Raw genomic sequence first — 27,127 nt, forward strand, 5'->3', positions numbered from 1 at the left:
TTGGGCTGGCTGCAGTCTGTCTGAGGGCGGCCGAAGTGGCTGGCTCATTTAAGATGAGGCTTCTGCTGCTTCTCCTAGTGGCGGCGTCTGCGATGGTCCGGAGCGAGGCCTCGGCCAATCTGGGCGGCGTGCCCAGCAAGAGATTAAAGATGCAGTACGCCACGGGGCCGCTGCTCAAGTTCCAGATTTGGTGAGTATGTGCACTGGGCCCCGGCCACCCCGCCGCGCCTCTGCTCGGCGCCATTGGCTACGCGAGGCCCCGGCTTCGCGGCCTAAATGGCCGCATCTTCGCTGGCCTCGTAGAACTGTGCCGGCGCCCTTCCACAGCCAGCCTTCTCGCGGCCCCTTAGCGCGGTCAGGCCGCCCTCCTTTTCCAGGTATAACTGCTCACTTGTTTTTTGCCTCCTAGAACAGTGGGAATGGGGAAGGAGGGCGCGAGAAGGTTAAACGCTGAAAGGCGAAGACTGGGGGACACCTGTTAGTACGGAGGACTGGTTGGCGGCGTCACGCCATAGCCACCCCGGCTGCCTGCGGAGATGGGGATGAGTAGGCGCCGCGTCGGCGGAGGAGCGCCAACCGTTTGTCAGTTCACTTTTTCTGCCCTCTTTTCCGGGGTAATGCCGGGCGGCTTCGCTGCCTGGCTAGATGAAGGTTAATTCGGGTCATTGGAGAGGATCCGGGAGTGACAGACGCCGTTTTTCTCCTGAACTTGCTGGGGGGACTGTTGAGTTTGCGAATGGGGCGTCTGACAGCTGGAGGGGGTGGAAGGAAGGTCTGGGGATGCTGGTTCTGTTTGCCATTTCCAAAGTGTCAGAAAAGGAGCACGTTGTTCTTCTAAACATTGACAGTTCGCTCGCATTCCCTCCTCACCTGCCTCCCAGGAGTTGCCTGCTCTGGCATCTCTTTCTACCTTTCAGTTGTCTTGTGTATCCAGCAGATCTCGGCAGTTTTCGACAGTGTTCTTTAAATGATTTTGTTTTTAACCTAATCGTTAGAAGCAGGGCAATGATGCATTTTATACGGTAAGTGGGGTTGCGGGTGGGGATTGAAAGGCTCTGAAGATGGGGGAAAAAACACCAAAATTGTAAAATTATAGAAATGAGAATCTTACACCTCCAAAGATGACATTTTCTCAGGATAAACCGACCATCCCAGAATAGCCAGATTAGTAAATCATCAGAGTCCGGATACATTGGAATGTTGGTGTTGGACATCATTCATTTAAAACCTTCTTTTAAGAACTTCATGTATTAGTATATTAAAGTTTTGATTTTCTACTTCTCCAACTAGCTTTTTACTTACTCACTGAAGACCAAGCAAACCTTTAAAATAATTTTTAAAAATCGGCTTAAGGTGATGTTTGAGTTAGAAAATAAGATGGTGAGACTTTATTTTTTTGAGTGAAAACTAAAACATTGCAATTTCTCCTGATTAAAAACAAACAAGGCCGGGCTCGCTGGCTCACGCCTGTAATCCCAGCACTTTGGAGGCCGAGGCTAGCGGATCACCTGAGGTCGGGAGTTCGAGACCAGCCTGACCAACATGGAGAAACCCCCATCTCTACTAAAAATACAAAAATTAGCCTGGCGTGGTGGCGCATGCCTGTAATCCCAACTACTTGGGAGGCTGAGGCAGGAGAATCGCTTGAACCCGGGAAGCGGAGGTTGCGGTGAGCCGAGAACGCGCCATTGCACTCCAGCCTGGGCAACAAGAGCGAAACTCCGTCTCAAAAAAAAAAAAAAAAACCTCCCTGTACAATGTACTATGTTTCTGGAATATATCATCTTTCATGTAATACTGCAAATGGGAGAATGGTTTATCCATTAACTTTTTTCCTTAATTTTTAAATTAGAAGGTGGTAATCATCTTACTAACCTAAAGATTGTTAAGGGTTGTGATACTTACGGATTTAAGTGTTAAAAAATTGCAGTTTTCAAATTATTTAATTTTTCTGTATCCTACTTTTATCTCTTGGTTGTATTTTTGCTTTTCCAAAATACCCCTTTTACGTTTGCTTTTTTTGGAACACTTGTCACAATAATTTACCAGGTGTATCTTCCACCAAGGCTATTCATAGCAAGGTTTTCAAAATGTGTAAACAAACGTAGGGAAGGGCATTCAGTCCTTCAAATTAAACTTAAAAAAAAAGTAGTAAGTACTTCAGTTAAACTTTTGATACTTTGTTTTTCTTTGTTTTTAAGTACAGACCTGTCCCAAAAGTCTAATAATTTTCTTTTACAGTCACTCTGAGCATGTTATATAACAAAAATGCTTCCATTTAAAAAATTATTTTTATTTTTATTTTTCTGACACTATCCACCGGAGATCATTTTTTGTTTAATCTGTAGATGGGAAATAACGTTATTAATAAGACCCACCAAATACAGATCAACTTAGCTTGTTGTTTGTTGCTTTTCCCCCCAGAGATTAATCTGTTTATGGTAAAGTGAATATTGGGTTTCTGGTTTTGCTAGAATCTTGTGGACATTAATTTGCAAGTTTGTTTGAGAAAGGACAGGAAGCTAATACGTTTGAGGATAAACATGAGAATTTTAAAATTCCATTTGAAGTCAGTATTATAAAATGCAGCTTTTCATTAATTACCACTGCTAACAATCAAAAGAGAACTATTTTACCTTCATTTCCACTGACTTTTTCCCCTTATAGTGATCATGAGTATTTTATCAAAAATAACTATACCTCAATATATCACCTGGTAATTGTACCACTTTTGCAATTGTTAGTCAACACAATAGCAACATAGTGCTGAGAGATCAAGCTTGTAGAGTAGCTTACGACAGAGTTTCCTATTCTCGTTTTTTTTTTTCCTTTCTTTCTTCCTTTTTTTTTTTTTTTGCTGAGACAGAGTCCCGCTGTGTCACCCAGTTTGGAGTGCAATGGCATGATCACGGAGCCTTGACTTCCTGAGTTCCGATAATCCTCCCACCACAGCCTCCCAAGTAGCTGGGACTGCAGACGCGCACCACCACGCCTGGCTAATTTTCATATTTTTTGTAGAGACCTGGTCTTGCCTTGTTGCCCAGGCTGTGTGTAATACCTGCTGTATGCCAGGAATTAAGCATGCTAAAGATGTGACCATCTCAAGAAGTCTACCAGACTGGCACAGTATTACTTGTGTATCTGAGTCTGTGGTTTATTATGTTGATTGAGCAATATAATTAGATACTTTTGATTATATTGGCTTCATACTTGGAAAAAAATTTATTCTGCTTATTTGGACGTTTAACACTTAACATAGAAAAAGGAAGTTCTCTAATCAGAGCTTAAAATTCCATTGTTTTTGAGACAGTGTTGCTTTGTTGCCCAAGCTAGAGTGCAGTGGTGTGATCTCAGCTCACTGCAACCTCTGCCTCCTGGGCTCAAGAGATTCTCATGCCTCAGCCTCCTGAGTAGCTGGGACTGCAGGTGTGCACCACCACGCCTGGCTAATTTTTGTATTTTTAGTAGAGACGGGGTTTCACCATGTTGGCCAGGCTGATTTTGAACTCCTGACCTCAAAGTGACCTACCCACCTTGGCGTCCCAAAGTGCTAGGATTACAGGTTTGAGCCACTGCCCCCGGCTGAAATTCCCTTTTTGTGTTTTCCTTTTATTGATTTTTATAAATTTGTATTGATAGTTACTCTTAGGCATGATGTTTGTCATACATACTTTCTCCGTATATGCGATTTAACATGTAATCAGATCTACAGCATTTAATTAGTTGCAGTTTAAAGAGATTATTGGCTACAACCCTTTACAGTTAATATTTACTTGAACATTTGACAACTGAATTGCTGAGAATAGTAGATTAAATGAAATTGAGATTTCAAAACATAAGTAGAATATGGCGGGATTTTCAAAGTTTTGTTAGTTTGAGAATCTACTGCTGTAATTTTAGGACAGCCAACTTCTAAATGTAGTTTTAAGAGGTAAATGAAACAACTGTACCAAAACAGATTTTTATTTAAATTTACAACTATTCAGCCTTGGCTTTCATAGTGTGACAGCAAGAAAATAAAGACCTAAGGTTGATTTGGATGTTGATACTCATCAAGATTAGTAGTAAAATGCTGAATTGGAGAAATTGTGAGTTACAGAGATCATGTTGGTTACTGTAGACTTGATATTTGCATATTCAACAGATATTGGAGCACTTACTCTGTGCAGGCACTTTGCTTCCTGCGGAGAATTCAATTCAGTGCTCTCGTGGACTTCACAGGCAAGAGCAGATGCAGACATTAATCCATGGACTGACCACACAGATAAAATTCAATTGGTGTTAAGTGCTGTGAAGAAAGATTATGTGGTGGTATGAGAGATGCCTAGTCGGGATCAGGGAAGGTTTCCATGAGGAAATGAACTTTGAACTGAGATTCGAAGGATAAGATTTATTTGGCGAGAACTTTCCAGGCAATGGGAATAACATGTTCAGTGTACTTATAGTAGGAAAGACCACAGTTTTACCAGAGAAGCCTAAGCCTACTGACCTCAGAGACCTAAAAGAAGGTGCCGTTAAGAGCTTGAGGGTCTGGCAGGCCATGCTTAACAAAGACCGTTTGGTTTTCTTGTGGAAAAGACATTCCAGGAGACAAAGAATTGATGGGAAACCATTTAGGGCGGCTTTTGGAGTTGTCCAGGCAAGAGATAATGGAACTTGGAAAAGTAAGGAGGTGGTAGAAATAGAAAGAGATGTATTTGAGAGATCTTTATGTGGTAAATTTAACAGCTCTTAATGATGAATTGTATGTTTGTGGGGAAAGAGAGGTGGCATGAAGTGAGAGATGTCAAAGATGATTCCTGAGTTCTGTGGTGATGCTATACCATTCACTGGAATGATAATTAAAATAAACAAGTATTATGAATGTTTTTGGTGGGAGGGAAGGAATCCTGATTTTTGAAGACTAAGGACATAGTAGCCAGGGGAAAACCCCCACAAAGAAATTTTTATCTCCAAAATAGCCATGATAACTGAAACTAAGAAACTTAAATTAACAGTTACTTTATTACATCAAACCTAAAATACATAATGGATTGTAAGATGTACCATGATTTTATATGCCATTTAGAAGAAAAAAATACTGCCATTTAAACGGACACACTAATGATTATAAGATAAATCCTGTGGCTTTTTTTGTTTGTTATTGTTTTTTTAATTTATAGAGATGCTACATGTAGCCACGTTTAGTGGCTTACACCTGTAAATTCCAGCTACTCAGGAGGCTGAGGTGGGAGGATTGCTTGCGGCCAGGAGTTCAAGACCAGCCTGGGCAACATAGCGAGACTTTGTCTCTAATTTTAAAAAAAGGAAAAGTAGAGATGCTAAATATGGAAAAGTATGCTTATTGGTATCAATGAAATAAAGGAGTAGTAAGAAGTTGGTGTAGATAGCAGGTTAGTAGTAGTAGAGTGTTACCATTAAAAAAATAGCTGCAGCATGTAATTGAACTCCTTGCACATAATAGTTGTTTCCACTTAATAATGAATTAAGTACTTAGTTCAAAGCTTTTAGATATAGGTAAACATGACTGAATGATCTTAAAGGTTTTATAACCTTTTACAAAAAATTGAAACATAATTTCCTAACAGTTTGCCATTAAGGCAAGTGCTGGACAATTGAGTTGAATATATTATTTAGAAATACCAAGATAACCCCTAAATTTTGATTAGTACAGTTTCTTTCTCTCGCCTGATTGTTCTGCCTAGGACTTCTAGTATTATGTTGAATAGGAGTGGTGAGAGTAGACATCCTTGTTTTGTTCCAGTTCTTAGGGGGAATGCTTTCAACTTTTGCCCATTCAGTATGATATTGGTTATGGGTTTGTCAGAGATGGCTCTTACTATTTTGAGGTATGTTCCTTTGTTTAAGTTGTTGAGGGTAAAACTTAAGTTTTGAATACACTGCGCCATCAGTAACTTTTCGGCCTGGCCTCCGTGCCTCTACAGGTGGGACTATAAACTTCCAGAATTCTCTGTGCTACTGCTAGTCCTTTTCCTGCTGCCCTGAAACTGACACACCCTTGCTACTTATTCTGTTGATGTTTTCTTTTTCTTTTTTTGAGACTGGGTCTCACTCTGTCACCCAGGCTGGAGTGCAGTGGTGCAGTCATTGCTCATTGTAGCCTCGACTGCCGAGGCTCAAGTCATTCTCCCACCTCAGCCTCCCAAGTAGCTGAGATTACAGGCGCGCACTACATGCCTGGCCAATTTTTGTATTTTTTTGTAGAGAGGAGGTTTCACCATGTTGGCAAAGCTGGTCTTGAACTCCTGGGCTCAAGCAGTCCTGCCTCAGCCTTCCAAAGTGTCGAGATTACAGGCAGGAGCCCCCTTGCCCAGCCTTGGTGTTTTCTTTCTTTTTAACACATCCTCTGTCAGGATATAGAAAGTTGGGAATGGGAGCATGGATAGTATCTTACTTCACTGAAGTTGACCAGCTATTTGGTTCTCCCTTTGGGATGAGCCTTAGATCTGTGAGCTTTCAGATAGGAATTTTCCTGAAGCAGAGTTTAGGTAATTTTTCTTAATCTTGACCTTTCTGTCTACCTTATAATTAATATAATTTTCTCCTAGATTTTGTCATTAGGTTGTTGGTTAAAGTGTCAGTGTTTGGTATGATTTATTTTTGTGAATTTTTGTGATTTCAGAATTTGAGTAAGAATTTGATAGGGGCTATGTACCAAAATTACATTACATTAGAGAATTTCATTAGTTTAATGTTTTAAAAGGTAATTTTGGCTGGTAGAAAAAAATGAGGAACAGAGTGAATGATATCAAAGATTCCTAGTAGTTATGTGAATGAAAATGAAACCCAACTGTTTTACTTATGATTGGTCTCTATTGTCACATTACAGTGCTTACTTTTGAAGGTAGCTTAACTAATTTTGTTATAGTTTGGCATTACGAAACCTAGCATTTGTACCACAAGCAAGACAGTCTTTTCATTAGGTATAAAGGTACCCTTTTCTTTTCATTTTGACAAAGGTGTTCATTTGATAAGTAGTTGTGTCATTAAGCAGAACTACTTATGGTTGATTTGATTTGGTTATCTCAGCACTTCAAATTCAGGATGGCACTGTGTTTGGTTTTTCTTCAAGTTTGCATCTTAGTAACCAAAAACAGTCTTAACATTTCAATCAGTCTATTAGACTGGGTTCATGTTTCATTATTTTCAATTTTGCTGGTAGAGAGAAGGAAAGGATAGAATATACATAATTGATGACCTAAGAGAAGTGTGATAGAAAGATACACCAGTGAAATTATTGTTCTTTCTCTCCTTGCTCTTTAATTTGTGTTTGTAATTTGTGCACTGCTTTCTGGGCTTGCTTCTGCATTACCTTATAATTGTTCCCCAGGGTTTGCTGTGTATTTGTCTCTCTGAAATTAGATTGTGAACTCTTTCAGGAAAAGAGACTAAAAAATGTTTTACTAACATTTAAAGTATCCAAATGCTGTTAACATTTTTCTAATAATGGTGATAACCTACCTACATACATGTGTCACTTTTACATGCCTTATCTCTTGAGTACTCTGAGAACTACCTGTGTATTGCAGGTGTCATCCTACTCATTGTACAGGTGTGGATACTGTGACAAAAGCAGGTTAATGGACTTGACCATTGTCTTGTTGGTCAGTGAGAGAGCTGATTTCCTGACTCTGTATTTAATGGTCTTGCCACAGTACTATTGCATCATGAGTCGTGTGTGTGTGTGTGTGTGTGTGTGTGTGTGTATTTGTTTTTGTTTTCTTTTTTAATAGTAATAACCTTTATTTAAAATAGTTTTTAATTTAGGAAAGCTCATTTTACATGAGTTTCCAACTAATTATTAGAGTCAGAAACAAAGAAAATAAAATCAGAAAATCTTTTGCAGAAAAAATACACAAAGAACATTTCTACATGTGAAAAAGCGGTAAACAGTGTTAACATCCAAGTTTTTAGTCTCAATTCCACATCTAGTGAACACCACTATCAACCTTGAGATCTGATTTGTTCTTGTCATTCTTCACTGATTAGATGAAATATGTTAAGGTGTCTTTTTCACTCACTGGAATAGACCTAAAGTGGCAACCAACTATCTCAACAAGTTGTGCTTTATTAAGTCCTGGTCTGGTTGGTGGCTTTAAGTGTCTTTTGTATCTCCTAAGTGTATTTACTTGTAATTGGTATAAATCAACCTCTGGGGTATCGAAATCTTGAACAGGTGAATCACCTCCATCATCATCACTCCCTTTTCTCTTTCTTCTGTTTCGAATACTCTGAATTAAGTTTTTATGATAATCACATATGTAAAGATGCCTGCGCTCTTATCCAGCTCGATCTTCACCTTCTGGGATATGCTCTTCTGGATCCTCTTGCTGAAGCTGGCGTTGCCTGCTGCCCGACCGCACCGCTCACCATCCTCCGCAGGCAGCACAGTTGCCAGGAGCCCGGCCTGGCCGCCCCCAGGGGCCCAGCCGCTGAGACCGCCCCTGCGCCCGGCCCCTCAGCCCCGATTTCCCGGACGAGGCACTGGCGACCACAGCGGCCACTGCGGCTGCCGCCTCCCCACTGCCCAGGCGTGAAGCCGTTCATGTCTCCGAGCTCCGGGGTACCGGCGCTGACAGAAATCCCCACTCTCCTGGCCGCTCCGTCGGCGGCAGTTCACTCTGCACACCAAGTTAGCTGCATGGCAGAACACCAACTGGGCCTGCTGCTGCTGGCGCCGAAACAGTGGACAGTGCCGAGGGCCGGGACTCAGAGTCGAGCGTCTCCTGGAATGGAGACCCAGCTCACTGTTACATGGGGTCTTCAGCTTTTTTTTTTTTTGAGACAGAATCTCGCTCTGTCGCCCAGGCTGGAGTGCGGTGGCGCAATCTTGGCTCACCGTAACCTCCGCCTCCCGGCTCAAGCTATTCTCCTGCCTCAGTCTCCTGAGTAGCTGGGATTACAGGCGCCCGCCACCGCACCCAGCTAATTTTTGTATTTTTAGTAGAGACAGGGTTTCGGCATGTTTATCAGGCTGGTCTCAAACTCCTGACCCTAAGTGATTGGCCCTCCTCGGCCTCCCAAAGTGCTGGGATTACAGGTGTGAGCCACCATGCCCGGCTATATATATATATTTTTAATGTTGGTCATTCTTTCTAATGTTAAGACATATCCTTTGAGGATAATTAGATTTTGGTGTCATGTAATTTGGGTGGTATCACATAATTTCGTTCATATTCTGGATCTGCCACCTATTAGTTATATGACTAAAACAAGTTAACCTATCTGAGTCTATTTGCTCAATTATAAAGTGGGCATGATAGAACTTCACAGGATTGTCTTGAGGGTTTAATAAGAATATAGCTAGCTAGCTAGTTTGTTCAAGGACATAAGTATCTGATAAATCTTAATGTTTCCCCTGTTGGTGAGTCAGAACAGAAATAAGAGTTGAAACTGCTGGTAAGCCTATTTTATCCATCTTCTTATTTTGCCCATAGTTAAAAAGCCACTTTTGTTATATTCTGCACTAACTTCCAAAGTTCATTTTGTTTTAGCTTTTATTCTTTTAATTAGACATATTGTCTAAAACCAAAAAGTCATGTTTCTGAAGCAGAGTTTTTAAAAGATACTTTATATTTCTCATTAAGATTGTGACTAGACAGAATCCTTCCCCACACACAAACTCCAGCTTATCTATTTTTCAATATCTAAGTTAGAGTTCTTGGCACTATTCACATTTTTACTGTACCTTCTTGAAGATGAAAGAGTCCGAAAGATTTAAAGATTTTTGAGCAGAATTAGACATAAAAAACTGTCATAGTTTGGTGTTGCTATAATAGAATATCACAGACAAGGTAATTTATAAAGAAAAATTTCTTTCTCATAGTTCTGGAGGCTGGGAAGTCCACTGTCAAGGTGCTGGCATTTGGTGAGGGCCTTCTTGCTGAGTCAGCTCATGGTGGAAGGTCAAAGAGAGGGCAAGCGAAAGCAGGTGATTGAACTTGCAGCCTCACCTCCCATTAGACCCTGCCTCCCAACAGTGTTGCATTAGGATTATTTTCATCCTATGCTTTTTGTAGGACATATTCAAACCATACATAGCACAACATACTTGTTAAAATTTTAAATCACTGTTAAAGCATGTTTCTTTGTTATATGTGGAAAGCATTGCCTAGTAATAACTTACTAGTCTTAAGGTAGTTTTCTGAAAAAAAATATGAGTGGACGTAGTACAAACATCTTAATACATTTTTTGATTTGTTTCGTGGAGTGTTATGTGATATAAATTGCAGTTGCACAAAAGTGAATAAAGGAAGATAATTGTAAAATCTGATGCAGCAAAGGTTAAATACTTTAGGGACATTCTCTTCACTAAATTATGCAGAAGATGGGAACTTTTTTTTTTTTTTTTTTTTTTTTTTTTAGAGAAAAAGACCCAGAGATGATTGAGAGGTTCAGGTTAATTAACATGACGGTGCATTCATCTCATTAGGTTCCCTAAGATTCTCAACACATGGTGTGTTGGCCACTTGATTGATTCACAGGTTTTTTGGAGAGAGGATCTTTGCAAGATAGCTCTTCTGCTCTTGAAGACTGGCAGTAGTTACAGGTAGAGATAGATATGTTACTGGTTTTGTACAAGATGCAAAAGATAAGTGGTAGTGAAGCCACCCTGGCCACAGGAGAAAGCACATGCAGGAGAAAGCACATTCATCAAGAGACAGTACATTTTAGGTTTATTTTTTTTTTTAATCCAAGGCTTTGGGATCAAGAGAAGGTAAGGTGCTATTGAACAGTTTTGAGTAGTGGCACCACAGTGCCAGAAAAAGATAAACTGGGCTTATAGACGCTGTTATAATAAACATTATAAAATGAAAATGCTAACAAGTACAAAGAAAATGGATACATAAAACTTTTATTCAAGTTAGCTGGCTATTCTGTTGGAGATTCTTAGGAGCTGTGAATGGAGGCAGGTAGGGGATGACTAGTGAGAGGAAGCTCAAGTGAGGCACATCCTTCCTATTAGTAATTCTTAGAAGCTACAGATTAGCTTGTCAGATTTAAAATGTTAGTCAAAATAAATATACCTGAGGTTTCTTGATTGGAAAAGCAGGTCAGATGTGACTAGAAATGGAGGTGGGTTTTTTTTTTTTTTAATGGAGGATTTTAGAAGGCAATAGTGTAGAATTTAGAGCTAGAAAGGATCTTACACATGAAAATACGAAAAGTAGACTTTGTAGGTTTATCTAAGATTTTTATTTAGTGACAGAGCTAGAACTAGGATCCAGGGTTTCTCTTTCATGGTTAGTTCAGCTAGGAAGAATATTTAAAGAAGCCAGGGTAATTAAGATGAACCTTGATAGGTATAGGAAAGAGGTAAGAGAACAAAAATCCAGTAGGTAAGAAGATGGAAGAACTTTAAAATCATTTTTATAAGAAATAGATATTATTTATTTAGAATTTATGAGATGTTTCACAGAGGGCTTGAAGTGGGAAAATAATTGAAATTATATAGACCATATAAATACTTCTATAAAACATTTGTTAAAATTGATTCTATAATTCATTGTCATTTTATTTATTTATTTATTATTATTTTTTATTATTATTATACTTTAAGTTTTAGGGTACATGTGCACATTGTGCAGGTTAGTTACATACGTATACATGTGCCATGCTGGTGTGCTGCACCCACTAACTCGTCATCTAGCATTAGGTATATCTCCCAATGCTATCCCTCCCCCCTCCCCCCACCCCACAATGGTCCCCAGAGTGTGATGTTCCCCTTCCTGTGTCCATGTGATCTCATTGTTCAATTCCCACCTATGAGTGAGAATATGCGGTGTTTGGTTTTTTGTTCTTGCAATAGTTTACTGAGAATGATGGTTTCCAATTTCATCCATGTCCCTACAAAGGACATGAATGCATCATTTTTTATGGCTGCATAGTATTCCAAGGTGTATATGTGCCACATTTTCTTACTCCAGTCTATCATTGTTGGACATTTGGGTTGGTTCCAAGTCTTTGCTATTGTGAATAATGCCGCAATAAACATACGTGTGCATGTGTCTTTATAGCAGCATGATTTATAGTCCTTTGGGTATATACCCAGTAATGGGATGGCTGGGTCAAATGGTATTTCTAGTTCTAGATCCCTGAGGAATCGCCACACTGACTTCCACAATGGTTGAACTAGTTTACAGTCCCACCAACAGTGTAAAAGTGTTCTTATTTCTCCACATCCTCTCCAGCACCTGTTGTTTCAGATTTCCTATACACCAACAACAGACAAACAGAGAGCCAAATCATGAGTGAACTCCCATTCACAATTGCTTCAAAGAGAATAAAATACCTAGGAATCCAACTTACAAGGGATGTGAAGAACCTCTTCAAGGAGAACTACAAACCACTGCTCAAGGAAATAAAAGAGGATACAAACAAATGGAAGAACATTCCATGCTCATGGGTAGGAAGAATAAATATCGTGAAAATGGCCATACTGCCCAAGGTAATTTACAGATTCAATGCCATCCCCATCAAGCTACCAATGCCTTTCTTCACAGAATTGGAAAAAACTACTTTAAAGTTCATATGGAACCAAAAAAGAGCCCGCATCACCAAGTCAATCCTAAGCCAAAAGAACAAAGCTGGAGGCATCACACTGCCTGACTTCAAACTATACTACAAGGCTACAGTAACCAAAACAGCATGGTACTGGTACCAAAACAGAGATATAGATCAATGGAACAGAACAGAGCCCTCAGAAATGATGCCGCATATCTACAACTATCTGATCTTTGACAAACCTGAGAAAAACAAGCAATGGGGAAAGGATTCCCTATTTAATAAATGGTGCTGGGAAAATTGGCTAGCCATATGTAGAAAGCTGAAACTGGATCCCTTCCTTACACCTTATACAAAAATCAATTCAAGATGGATTAAAGACTTAAACATTAGACCTAAAACCATAAAAACCCTAGAAGAAAACCTAGGCATTACCATTCAGGACATAGGCATGGGCAAGGACTTCATGTCTAAAACACCAAAAGCAATGGCAACAAAAGCCAAAATTGACAAATGGGATCTAATTAAACTAAAGAGCTTCTGCACAGCAAAAGAAACTACCATCAGAGTGAACAGGCAACCTACAAAATGGGAGAAAATTTTCACAACCTACTCATCTGACAAAGGGCTAATATCCAGAATCTACAATGAACTCAAACAAATTTACAAGAAAAAAACAAACAACCCCATCAAAAAGTGGGCAAAGGACATGAACAGACACTTCTCAAAAGAAGACATTTATGTAGCCAAAAAACACATGAAAAAATGCTTACCATCACTGGCCATCAGAGAAATGCAAATCAAAACCACAATGAGATACCATCTCACACCAGTTAGAATGGCAGTCATTAAAAAGTCAGAAATTCATTGTCATTTAAATAAAGTGGGCCTGTGTCAATATTAATCAAGTGCTATTTGAATGTCTACTTTCAAGTAGCTGGGACTACAGGTGCATGCCACCATGCCCAGCTAATTTTTGTATTTCTTGTAGAGACGAGGTTTTACCGTGTTACTCAGGCTGGTTTCAAACTCCTGAGCTCAAGCAATACACCTCCTGCCTTGGCCTCCCAAAGTGCTGGGATTACAGGCGTAAGCCACTGCACCCAGCCAAAGTGAGAAATGGTTTTACACAGGTGAATACTATGATGGAATCTACACTCAGGCAGCTGAACTGATTGGAGGAAGGATAGGTAGAAAGCAGCATACCAATTATTATAATAGTTGAAAGGCAGCTATGGGCATGTGGTGGTAAGCCCAGTTGTAATAGAAAAAGCAAATAACAGCTGAGTTGGAGGACTGTTTTAAGAGAAGCAGGCTGGATATGTAAGGAAAATTATATTCAGAGTGCATTTGTTTCTCTCAGTCTGTGTTCCTTTTTTTCTCATCTCTTGCCAACCTGTGTTTCTTATAACTAGTCTTAAATCTTTTCTCTTATTTAGTAATGATGGAAATGCTAAAAAAAAATTTTTGTTTTAACAAATTGAGGAAAGGCATGGTAACTCATGCCTATAATCCTAGCACTTTGGGAGGCCGAAGCGGGAGGATCACTTGAGGCCAGGAGTTTGAAACCACCCTGGGCAACATAGTGAGATCTCATCTCAACAAAAAATTTAAAAATAGCTGGGCATGGTGGCACATGCCTATAGTACCAGTTATTGAGGAGACTGAGGCAGAAGGATTGCTTATTTCCTGTTTATCTTGTACTTTTACCTGTTGGTTGTAGATTGATTTCAGGTGACATTTGAATAAACCCAATAAAGAAGCCAGGACCCTCCACGTCTTAGAAGCCACGTTAGGCTCATTTTGTGTGTATTTCTACACTGGTAGACACTGTAATGCTCTAAGAGTGCTGCAGCTGTAAGAGAAATCACCTGGTCTCATATAATATAGTTCCTTAACCTGATAAGCTACTACTTGTGTAGTGTTGTTTATGCAACTTAAAAAAAAACAAAAAAAAACTGAGCACGCTTTTTATCTTCATTCAAAGTGTTTGCAACTGTTTTTGTTTGGTTTGGTTTGGTTTGGTTTTTGACAGTCTCACTGTCTCCCAGGCTGGAGTGCTGGAGTGCAGGAGTGCAGTGGTGCGGTATTGGCTCACTGCAACCCCCGCCTCCTGGGTTGAAGTGATTCTCATGCCTCAGCCTCCCAAGTAGCTGGGACTACAGGCACGCGCCACCATGCCCTGCTAATTTTTATATTTTTAGTAGAGACAGAGTTTCACCATGTTGGCCAGGCTGGTCTCAAACTCCTGACCTCAGGTGATCCACCCGCCTCAGCCTCCCAAAGTGCTAGGATTACAGCACTGCACTGGCCGATAGTCACTTTTTAAAATCCCAGTTCTTCATTTCTAGAGAAGGAACTCTGTTTGGATCTTCTTGTTACAGGTTTGTATTTCTGGAACATCAGCTATGACAAGGAATTAGGCCTCGTTGTGTAAATGGGACCCAATGCTATGCGTGGATGGCTATTGTGAATCAAACGAGAGAGTGAATTGGAGAGATTGTGAAAATAGAAAACCACAAACAAGTATTTATTTTGTAACAATAAATATCTGAGATCTTGTTCATGTTGTCTTTTAATGAGGATGCGAGAGATTGGGGTTTATGATGGGCCTAGGTTTGATATAAGTAGGCATTTGACTCCAATTAGCAGCAAATGTAATAGAGAAGGTGAAAGTGGAATGGTTGGCACTATGAATTAGGACACTGAACACATACTGCTCTGTCATCCAGGCTGGAATGCAGTAGTGTGATCTCGGCTCTCTGTAGCCTTGACTTCTTAGACTCAAATGATCCTCCCACCTCAGCCTCCCCAGTAGCTGGTACTTCAGATACGTGGTACCATACCTGGCTAATTTTTTCTTTTTTTTTGTAGAGATGGAGTCTCACTGTATTGCCTAGGCTGGTCTTGAACTCCTGGGATCAAGTGAACCTCCTGCCTCAGCCTCCCAAAGTGCTGGGATTACAGATGTGAGCCACGATGCCCAGCCTATGATAGACTTTAAAAAGCACAAAACCAATTTGAAATAGCATGGACAAGAGATTTTGCTGTATTTTCGAAATTTCCTTTCTGTTCTGCATAGATCATCTAATATGTAAGCAAGATCTTCTTTTAGAAAAGTACTGTTTCCAAAATATTTTAAATCAAGCAATTGCAACAGTTGATTCCGTATAGTAAGGTATATCTGTGTTACTAGAAAGGGATTTGCAAAGTGATAGCACTTAAACTTAAGATTTCTTAGCCGGGTGTGGTGGTGGGCGCCTGTAGTCTCAGCTACTGGGGAAGCTGAGGCAGGAGAATGGCGTGAACCCGGGAGGCGGAGCTTGCAGTGAGCCGAGATCGCGCCACTGCACTCCAGCCTGGGCGACAGAGCGAGACTCCGTCTCAAAAAAAAAAAAAAAAAAGATTTCTTTTTGGCTAGGCATGGTGGCTCACGCCTGTAATCCCAGCACTTTGGGAAGCCGAGGCGGGTGGATCATGAGGTCAGGAATTCGAGACCAGCCTCGCCAACATGGTGAAACCCCATCTCTACTAAAAATACAAAAAAAAAAATTAGCTGGGCACGGCGGCGGGCGCCTGTAATCCCAGCTATTCAGGAGACTGAGGCAGGTGAATCGCTTGAATGCGGGAGGCGGAGTTTGCAGTGAGCCGAGATCGCGCCACTGCACGCTAGCCTGGGCAACAGAGTGAGACTGTCTCAAAAAAAAGAAAGATTTCTTTTCAGGAGTTAGGTTTAATTCCTGAGGACATTTAGTCCGGAGCAGAAGGATAGGCAGCTGATGCAGCATTTTTAGTGTGTTCATATACTTATTTGGAGGTGTACTGAGAGAGGCAGTTTTAACTCATTGACCCAAAAAGAGTGGAATAATTTGAAAGAAATGGGTGAGATGGTAGAGGTGATGGTTACTAGCTCTTTACCATGTATACCTTTAACATTTGTCCACCTTGGTATGTTACATTTTGGAAGACATCTGTTAGCAGTAGTGATTGCTGCTTCACAACAGAAAAATTATTTTAGGGAAAGCAATTATATAGGAAAAAGGGTTCCTTGGTTTTCACAAGTCTGGAAGCAAATATAAGGAGGAATATGCATAAGTAAACTTGTCTAAAAGTATGATGTGGCTATCTTATAAACTGCTTTATTTTTCAGAAGTAAGGAAAGTTCAGTTTTAAAGTCCTTTTTGGAATCAGATTATTAGCTAAATTCTATTTGGAGTTTCACACAAAGGTCTAAGACTTAACTGAAGATTTAGGGCCTGATGAACCAAGTAGATTTATGCTTCTAAACACATTAGCCAGAAAAGTGGGTAACTATAGGGGGAATCTGACTGTTAGTTCAGCCTGCGCATATGCACATCTCTAGTTGAGTCTCTTAGGGTTTCCCTTAAGGGACTTCTTGGGGCTCATAAGCTTGGTCTTCTCAGAAGAATCTCTATATCTTCATCATGGAAAAACCCAGGAGGCCAATTGTATAGGTACCCGATGGTGGCATTGTGGACAAAGGGAACTTACTTCCTGGACATATGAAGGATAGCTCTTGAATCATCTAATTGTTAAATTTGGGGTCTAGTGGAAAGGGCCTAGGACCCCAAATCACAAAGACTGTGTTCTGGTCCCATCCCTGGCACTCAGTGAGGACAGGACCGTATCTGTGTTACTCACCACTAAATACTCACTGCCTGCTACAGTGCTTACCATGTAATAAATAGGCGTTCAGTAAATATTTGAGTGAGTGAAATAATACATTGGATGCATAACTTCGGAAAAGTCACGTTATCTCTCTGGGTTTCATTTTTCCCCCGTTCATCTATAAAATACAAGTTTTGACTAACCAAGTCTCTAGTTCTCAAATTACTGCATTAAAAGTTAGAAAGATACAATTATTTTAGATAATCAACTCCATTGTAAACACCAGTGCAAACTTGGGCATTGATATCAGGTGGCATTTCTTGGTTTTAAGGTAGTTAGGCTTATAGGTTATCTAGATTATTTTTGTAAAACAAAAGCAATATTAAACATTTTTTTATATTTGCCTTTGCTTTTTTGGTATAAAGAAAAGATTAATACATTTTTTTGCAGAGAAAGCAATTGTGGCAGAATATTAATATGTGATGAATCTAGATGAAGTGTTTATGTAAGATCTTTATACTAATATTACAACTTTTCTGTAAATTTGAAATTATATTAAATTAGTAATTTGAACTCAGAAAAGCCCAGCATGTAGTGAGAAAGAATAAAAAGTACAACAATGGTAATAATAAAACATTAGGTGGATGTTAAGGATAGTATTTGGAGATTCATAAGTTCACTTAAGTATAGAGATTTGTATCTCTTTGCGAAATATTTAGACTTGTAAGGGACATTCATTCTAAATGTAAAGGAAATATTCACTGTAAAGAAAGACTGGTGAATTTCTCACTTACCGTTCCCTCACACCCCCCCCAAAAAACACAGGTTTTCTTAAATTGAGATCTACTAACATTTTTTACCATTTTACCGTGTCAGATAGAAACTCCATGCTGTTCCTTTGGCTTGGTAGTAGTGGTTATCATTTTTTTTTTCCTTGATTGACAAAGCTGGCACCTCAGATTTTACTGTAACTTAATTACTGACCCTGCTTCCTCTGTACCAAGTGGTACCTTATGATATTATCTGTTCCTTAACTTAGAATTTAGTGAACTTTAGTGTTTAACAATATTACCTGAATTTGTAAGTTCTTCTGTTGATATAAATGTACCATCTTCTTTTTTATCTCATATGCACTCTGGTGGCATATTTCCTTTTTTTTTTTTTTTTTTTTTTGCTGGGGCAGCATCTATCTGAAAGTGAGTTGCTTAGAGACTTTAGAGACTTTAATCTCCAGAGTAATTATAAGGATTTTCTGTCCATATTATTGAAAATTATGTTCCCAATCTTCGTTTTCCTTGGCAAAGTAGAATCAAATTTTAGAGTTAGAAGGGTTCTAAGTCTAAGTTCCTTTTCTTGTGCTTGGGCAAACAAGTTTGCCTGGTTAAGGGCAGAATGGGAATAAGAACCAGAGTTTCATTCTCTCATGCCTTGATTTTTTTTGTTTGTTTGTTTTTTGTTTTTGAAGTCTTGTGTCCCAAATTTGAAAGTCTGTAGTTCAGATGAATAAGAATTGTTTTCATTTCACTGTTTATACAAGTAATTGATACTCCCCCAAAAAGGCCAAATCTGTGTGAGAGCTCAAAGTATGCTGAATGTGAATAGGTATTTGCTGTTGTCCAACAGTAACCCAAATCTATAAAGTTTAATGTTCTTTTTTTTTTTTAAACAAAAAAATCAGGCCGCATTACTGGCATATATAAAGTTTAATGTCTTAATGGAAGGATTTGAGGGGGTGGTAACTGAAATATGTGAAATGTATTTAAAAAACTCAATGTATTTGTCATCCTGGTTCAATTATTATGAATTTGTGACTGATTTTGAGAAAAATTTGTAATCTTGATAATTTTTAGGCTTTAACTAACTACAAAATAAATCTAGATGTATGCTAAATGACTTAATGGAAACACTTATTTTTCTGCAGTGTTTCCTGAGGTTATAGGCGGGTGTTTGAGGAGTACATGCGGGTTATTAGCCAGCGGTACCCAGACATCCGCATTGAAGGAGAGAATTACCTCCCTCAACCAATATATAGGTAAGAAATTTTAATAACTTAAAAGGAAAACAATGTATTTGACTTTATAAGTGTTTGTGAATTGGTTTAATTAGCTGTCCTTAGTTATTGTAATTACTTAGTTGGTTATAATAATATACAGAGAATGCTGTTTTATATATAACAAGTTTATTTGACCCAATATAGAAGGCTTTTTCTGTAAGAAGGAAGAGGGTCGTTTCAGAGATGGCAACCCTTCTAAAGATGTGTTTTCATATGTATTTTTAATTGTGGAAATAGAATAACAATCCTAAATTTTTATAGAAAGTGGTATTAAATTCTGTATTTCATAAAATAATAGTATTTTTAAAGACCAATTCTGTATAAATTTGTAGGTTAATTTTTCAGGTGATTTTAAATATATTAAACATTTTTGTTTTAACACTGCACAATAAACTTTAATTGCTTTTTCTATAAGTAACTTTTAGATTTGGTGTCTAGAAAATCTTTACATACACTTGAATTACTAAATTTTAAAGTAGATTGGAAATTGTGGCTTCTGATGATTTTCTTTCTTTTCTTTTGATAGACACATAGCATCTTTCCTGTCAGTCTTCAAACTAGTATTAATAGGCTTAATAATTGTTGGCAAGGATCCTTTTGCTTTCTTTGGCATGCAAGCTCCTAGCATCTGGCAGTGGGGCCAAGAAAATAAGGTATGTAACTTAATAGCTTTGGTAACTGTAGGTTTTTATGTTGTCAGTGAAATATTCTAATAGATTTTCTTATTTTGAATACTTGTTATTGATTCACCTGTTAACATGTATTATTTTAATTTATACCAGTTTTATCTCTGGGGAAGTCACTTAGCCTCCCTTCACCTTCATTTCCATATTGATATATTAAGAATGATTAGGTCTTAATCTTTTTATTTTGGGGGGATAGGGAGGTGTTAATTTAGTATAACCTGGGCACAAAATAATTTGTTATCTGATTTTGATTATATTACTTAGGTCAAATCATATCCAGCAAAACATAATATATACATAATGCAGGCCTTTTAAACCAATTAATGTCATATTAGTGGGTTGATTCACATTAAAAAGGGGATTCCCATTAACTTGTTCTTATCAAAACTCCTCTCTCTTTTTAAATTATTTGTCCTTTGCCTCTTCTGTTTATGGATCTGTTTGACTAATTGCCTGAAAGAAACAATGTAAATATACTTAAGAACTTTGTGCTGTTTCTCTTTTCCTTTTGTAGGGTCTTATTGCCACATACATTCTTTCTAGATTACTCTGATTTTAATTTATTTTACTTTTAAGTAAAATATTTTAATATTAAAAATGATTTTAATCATTGTTTCTGGAGGGCTTACTGTCCTGTCTAAAATGGGTCTAATTTTTATTTTTCTCATGGATTAGATTTTTCTAGGCTTCCTTTTATGAAGTCTTCCTTTTTGGAGTCTTCTATCTGATCTTGTCCTTTAATTCTAGGCTGAATACCTTTAGCAGACTCCTGCATAGCTGTGCTTCTTTTTCTTTGGGAACCATTTCTTTCCAGTAACAGGCAGGACTTCTTAATATAAATATCTTCAAGTGGTATCTCTAATTGAAATATATCTCTACCCTGTAGGTTTTATGACATTTCCTTGTATATTGTTCCCATGAAAATAGACTTAACATTCCCAAATGGTAGAGTAATTCCTATAAAAACAAACCCCACCTAGCTCCTGTGGGGCAGTAGGGAAAGCTCTTTCTCATCTGCTGTGAACATTTGATTTATTTTTCTGAAACAGCTTGCTGTGAATTGGCATTCTCACTGCATCCTACTTTTAGTCCTGTGATTTTGTTAAAGTAAAATTTTCTGTCCAACAAGAAACACTTAGCCGCTTTTGGGAGAGAGTATAGATTTGCCTTTGAAAGGTGAATGAATGTACTTTAATATGCCTATGCTTTCTAACCTACTTCTTTCTTAGTTTGACTTAAAATGATTTGTTTGAAACATATACAGGTTGTATTGAATATTATATGGAGTTACTAATTTTGCATCACAAGTCTCTTATGAATTCATATATTATAAAAATGGTAAAGTGAACTCTTATGCTTGTATTCTTTTGTTTAACTTATTAAGGCTATTATGAAATCTCTCAAATTCTGTGTACATTATGAATATCATCTATAAGTGCTTCAGCATGTATGGAGCTGCAAATTAATATTGGTTTACTTTTGCTCTATGTATGTTATCTGAACATATGGAATAGCAGTAATAGTTTTTATGGGAACTTTTAAAGTAGATTAAAAAGAGCATTTACCAAACATGACTTTGCCTGTTGTGCTTAATTATATTTTCTTTTAGGTTTATGCATGTATGATGGTTTTCTTCTTGAGCAACATGATTGAGAACCAGTGTATGTCAACAGGTGCATTTGAGATAACTTTAAATGGTAGGTTCTGAATAGTTTGCATTTTGTGATTGATTTTAAATGATTTATAATGAGTATCAAGCTTTTATCTTTTATAATAAGATAAACTTCTTTAGTGTTTGTATAAAAGTAAGTTTATTTGAAAGAAATTGAAAATTCAGGAGATAGAAGAATTTAGAAAATTTTAACTTTTTTTTTTTTAATTTGCTCCCTCAACTTAATCTCTTTATCTCTGCTTGAACTTCACACCTTCGAATTCCTTGAGGAGTTGGCCCTATTCTTTTATCAGATTGTCTCTGTGAACTTTATCTACTCCCATGGCTTTAAAATAACATCTGTATGATGATCCCTGAATGTATATCTCTCGATCTCTCTCCTAAAATGCTATGCTGAAGAATCTTAAACATAACCTACTCTAAAATAAACTCTTGCTTACTTCTCCTTCCTATAATGTCTGTAAACTCTTTTGCTCCTCCTTTGACATTTCTCATTTATTTAGTGATACCATCATTTGTCTACTCAGTTGCCCATGCCAGAAACCTATGATAATATCACCGTCTTCCCTAGTCCCCCTATTTTATGGATTACCAAGTCTTCTCAGTTCCACCTCCTAAATTTCAAAAATCTACCTTCTGTTCATCTTAACTGCCACCACCCTAGTCCAGGACACAATTAACTTGTTACCCTCTTCTGCATTCTCTAAACCAAGGGTTGGCAAATACGGCCTATGAGCTAATAATGTTTTTTACACTTTTTGGTTAAAAAAAAAACTAATGTTTTATGACACATGGAAACTATATGAAATTCCAACTTCTGTGCTTATAACTAAAGTTTTGCTTTGCATCAGTGAAAAATTTGTAGAAATTTATCTTTATATTATATAAGTACCTACATAATGTTCTTGATTTTTATCTCTTGGTCCATAAAGTGTAAAATATTTACCATCTGCCTTCTTACAGAAAAATTGACCAATATCTGTTCTAAACAATAACTTTTTTTTTTTTTTTTTGAGACGGAGTCTCGCTGTGTCGCCCAGGCTGGAGTGCCGTGGCGCGATCTCGATTCACTGCAAGCTCTGCCTCCCAGGTTCACGCCATTCTCCTGCCTCAGCCTCCTGCGTAGCTGGGACTACAGGCGCCTGCCACCACGCCTGGCTAATTTTTTGTATTTTTAGTAGAGACAGAGTTTCACCCTGTTAGCCAGGATGGTCTTGATCTCCTGACCCTGTGATCCGCCCGCCTCCACCTCCGCCTCCCAAAGTGCTGGAATTACAGGCGTGAGCCACCTCGCCCAGCCTAAACAATAACTTTTTTAATGCAAATTTTATCTTGCTGCTTGAGTGTTCCCAATTCATTAAATGACTTGACTTTGTTCTCAAGATAAAGACCAGAACATTTAATCTGGCCAAAAGGCTCTGCATGATCTATTTCAGTGGTTAGCAAGCTGTGGTCCTATGGACCATATCCTCTGCTGCTTGTTTTGTAAGTAAAGCTTTATTAGAACACAACCATGTCCATTTGCTTGTGTATTGTTACAGCTGCATTTAGGCTACAAGAGTTGAATAGCTGTGGCAGAGACTATGTATCTTCCCTAGCCCAAAATGTTTACTTTCTGTCCCTTTACAGTTTATTGACCCCAGTCTAATCCTTTCCACCTTCCCATCCTCCCTTATATCACTCCTCTTCTATATTTCCCTCAGCTATGCTGATTTTCTCTTATTTTCAGTGCCAAGCTACTTTCTGGTCTTTACATTTCTGTTCTCTCCCTCAAAGGTTTTCTACTCTCATGAATCCCCACTCTGTCTTGGTAATTTTTCTTTATCTTTTAGATCTCAATTTAAATGATACTATTTCTCTGACTAGACAGGGAGAGCCTTGTGTATATGTCCCTCCTAGTACAGTAGTGCCTTTTAGTTTTAGTTCTAAGTACACAATTGTAATTTTGTAGCCATTTGTGTAGTTCTTTTGACATTTCCCCTACTGGAATGTAAAGTCCCTGAGAGCAAGCAGTGTACTTTTTTGCCTACTTTTGTATCCCAGTTGTGTACATAGATGATAAATATTAGTGGGATGAATGCATATTATAAAATCATCTTTAATTTTTTGGGGGGCGGTGCCATTTATTTTTATAGATGTACCTGTGTGGTCTAAGCTGGAATCTGGTCACCTTCCATCCATGCAACAACTTGTTCAAATTCTTGACAATGAAATGAAGCTCAATGTGCATATGGATTCAATCCCACACCATCGATCATAGCACCACCTATCAGCACTGAAAACTCTTTTGTAAGTTGTTTAAAATATAGCTAATGTATAGGTTTCTGTTGATTCTTATGACTCAGCAAGTTAGTAAATATTACATATATTATCACTTGAGTTTCCAATTTAAGATTAAACAGAGGGATGTATTCTTCATTAAAATGTTGAAGTGTATGAAGAGAGTTCGGCCCTGCCAAAATAAAGTCAGGTTGTTAGTAATTTTATCTTCAAGGCTTAATGATTGGGTCTGTAACCTTATTTTCTTTACTCTAAATTCCTAATGGCCAGAGTTGATATATTATGCTAGAGGTGTGTATACTTCCTGTCCTTACCTTCAAGTAATTAGTTCCTGGGAGTATGCAAATTCTTTGAACATACTCAAGATAAAAAATTTATAGGCAAATGTGTGAACACAGAGAGGTATTAGTTAACTTTTTCTTTGTGATCAATGAATTCACTTTCTAAAGAGTTTTTATGAGTGATTTTTGCAATAAAATATTCTTTTTTCTGTATATCTTTCAGGCATTAAGGGATCATTGCAAGAGCAGCGTGACTGACATTATGAAGGCCTGTACTGAAGACAGCAAGCTGTTAGTACAGACCAGATGCTTTCTTGGCAGGCTCGTTGTACCTCTTGGAAAACCTCAATGCAAGATAGTGTTTCAGTGCTGGCATATTTTGGAATTCTGCACATTCATGGAGTGCAATAATACTGTATAGCTTTCCCCACCTCCCACAAAATCACCCAGTTAATGTGTGTGTGTGTTTTTTTTTTAAGGTAAACATTACTACTTGTAACTTTTTTTCTTAGTCATATTTGAAAAAGTAGAAAATTGAGTTACAATTTGATTTTTTTTCCAAAGATGTCTGTTAAATCTGTTGTGCTTTTATATGAATATTTGTTTTTTATAGTTTAAAATTGATCCTTTGGGAATCCAGTTGAAGTTCCCAAATACTTTATAAGAGTTTATCAGACATCTCTAATTTGGCCATGTCCAGTTTATACAGTTTACAAAATATAGCAGATGCAAGATTATGGGGGAAATCCTATATTCAGAGTACTCTATAAATTTTTGTGTATGTGTGTATGTGCGTGTGATTACCAGAGAACTACTAAAAAAACCAACTGCTTTTTAAATCCTATTGTGTAGTTAAAGTGTCATGCCTTGACCAATCTAATGAATTGATTAATTAACTGGGCCTTTATACTTAACTAAATAAAAAACTAAGCAGATATGAGTTAAATTTAAAAGTTTCAATTTATTGCTCAGTGTACCTGTTAACATTATATTTAACAATTGCTTAAATTTTTGTTTTTGATTTATGGATAATTTCTTAAGAGTACACACTTTAGATACACAAATAATCGTTCATTTACCATCTTTAGGATCATTGAAACTCATCTCACTAAAGAAAGTTCACTTGAACCTCTTTATAGCATTGATACTAGGTGAACAGAAATTACCTGACTAATAATTTGTCTAACATCATATATCAGAATTTTATTGTATATGATGAACAAAACTTAAAATTTTTTAAATTTAATTTTTAAATACTGTTTCAGAGTTCTAAAAAGGCAGTTTTTTAAAAAACTTAAGTTGATAAAAACTGTAAGAATAATTTAGCAGAAATAGAACCAGAATGTAGAAGAGTAGTCATGTAACAGCAGTAATAACATACTTCAGCTTCCATATAGGAATAGAAGTGGTAGAGCCAAAAGTGATTTAGGAAAAGTTATAAGGTACAGGTTGAGTATCCCTTTTCCAAAAATGCTTGGGACAAGAAGTATTTCAGATTTCATAATTTTTTTCAAAGTTTGGAATATTTGCATTATACTTACCAGTTGGGCATCCCAAATCTGAAATCTGAAATGTTCCATGAGCATTTCCTTTGAGTGTCATGTTGGCACTCAAAAAGGTTCAACATTGAGTCCACTTAACACTTAGGTGTTAGAAGACCTAACTTTCTGTAACAATTAACCTTATACTTTGTTTGTCATCGAATATTTGTTGAATGCATGTCAGGTAATGGTCTTGATTGTGATAGCTTCAAGGTGGAACATACTGTAATCTCCAGATGCTAGGAAGTTAGTCTAATAATTCACTGCAGAAAATTGATTAAGTGGCTGTCCTTTTAATTAAGAGTGTGGAGTCATAAACTTAAGTTCTTCATATAGTGACAAGAGTCCTTAGAGATTGTTATTCAAGTTCCTTAGAAATTGTTATTTAGGTATAATATCATCTTGTCTTTGACTAGAGCTTGAAACCTTGTTATCTGATTGTGTACCACTCCAAATTCCCTGCCTTCTGCAAGTTGAATGTCTTGCTGAATGTGTCTAGGGGTTCATCTTCAGTAATCGACATTCCACTAGTGCCATAGTTAACTTCATGACATGTAGACATTCAAAACTTGAGCCTTGGATGTTCCTGTGGACCTGACAGTTAAAAATATAAAGAACCTAGGATTCAATTCCAACTTTCTCTGTTTGCCTTGGGTTGAATAACTTATCTTTTGGAGAATAGCTTTAAGTGGCTTAGACACTGATAAAATTCAGCTGTGTTGTTGACGCTCATCTCTTTTGTCTTACGCTTAGCCATATTTAAATCTTGAATTTAATAGAGTCTAGTGAAAAAAATGAGTGGGAAGAATGAATATAAAAGTAATAATATAAGGAAAAAGGGAAAGTAAACTATTTAGAATGTAGTTTTGTTATATTCCCAGCATTTCAATATTTATTAGTTACTTGTAAATTACTGTGGCTGTGTAGTTTATAAATGTCTGTGCACTATATTAATTAGAAGACCATAGAACATGCCAGCAGGTTGGCTAATGCTATGGGGGTTTTTACCACAGTTGCCATTGTGGAAGAAATTATTTGGTACATTAATAAAAAAAGTTGGTAAAACATGGTTTTATACCTCAGTGTATAAGATGTGCAAGACAAATATGCTTATTTCCTTTTCTAGAATATAAGTGATATTATTTGCTTATGACACTAACACTATTAATGACAGGAGTCAATCAGCCTTTACAGCTATCAAAATATAATGAGATCCCAATGATGATTCTTTTTTACTTTGAATGTTAATTAGTTTGGGACTTTGATTGGCTGGCAAACATTTTATCATTGTCAGAATTTAATTTAGATTTCAAAAATAGCTTACAGGATTTTAAACATGGTGTGGTATTCTAAAGCCTTTTTTTTAAAAAAAGAGATCTTTTTGAGAGAAACAAATGAGGATTGTAAAGTTTGGGGACTTACCTCTGTAGCATTGTGAAAATAAACTTTGATTAAGCTGA

General features: G+C 37.6%; 1 protein-coding gene and 1 pseudogene across 1 annotated transcript, besides 4 other annotated features; one reads left to right on the plus strand and one right to left on the minus strand.

The window, feature by feature from the left end:
- Positions 1-150: an enhancer, noted in NCBI's record as "active region_20692". NCBI's record gives its function as "activates an Ori minimal core promoter by ATAC-STARR-seq in GM12878 lymphoblastoid cells {active_cell/tissue: GM12878}" and the evidence as "EXISTENCE:reporter gene assay evidence [ECO:0000049][PMID:35858748]".
- Positions 1-896: a biological region, named in NCBI's record as "H3K27ac hESC enhancer GRCh37_chr3:150321219-150321992".
- On the plus strand, positions 12-27,127 carry SELENOT (selenoprotein T). Its single transcript, NM_016275.5, has 6 exons — positions 12-190; positions 19,076-19,186; positions 19,734-19,860; positions 21,503-21,590; positions 23,701-23,854; positions 24,350-27,127. Exons 1-5 carry the CDS (start codon positions 54-56, stop codon positions 23,823-23,825), a joined length of 588 nt encoding a protein of 195 aa, NP_057359.2. The 5' UTR covers positions 12-53; the 3' UTR covers positions 23,826-23,854; positions 24,350-27,127.
- Positions 123-896: an enhancer, noted in NCBI's record as "H3K27ac hESC enhancer chr3:150321219-150321992 (GRCh37/hg19 assembly coordinates)". NCBI's record gives its function as "activates a minimal SCP1, AML or CMV promoter by ChIP-STARR-seq in primed H9 embryonic stem cells {active_cell/tissue: H9 hESC(primed)}" and the evidence as "EXISTENCE:reporter gene assay evidence [ECO:0000049][PMID:30033119]".
- Positions 171-470: an enhancer, noted in NCBI's record as "active region_20693". NCBI's record gives its function as "activates an Ori minimal core promoter by ATAC-STARR-seq in GM12878 lymphoblastoid cells {active_cell/tissue: GM12878}" and the evidence as "EXISTENCE:reporter gene assay evidence [ECO:0000049][PMID:35858748]".
- Positions 7,749-8,770, minus strand: SAP30P1 (SAP30 pseudogene 1; annotated as a pseudogene).

The sequence above is a fragment of the Homo sapiens genome, chromosome 3 (assembly GCF_000001405.40).
Source record: "Homo sapiens chromosome 3, GRCh38.p14 Primary Assembly".
Lineage (NCBI taxonomy): Eukaryota > Metazoa > Chordata > Mammalia > Primates > Hominidae > Homo > Homo sapiens.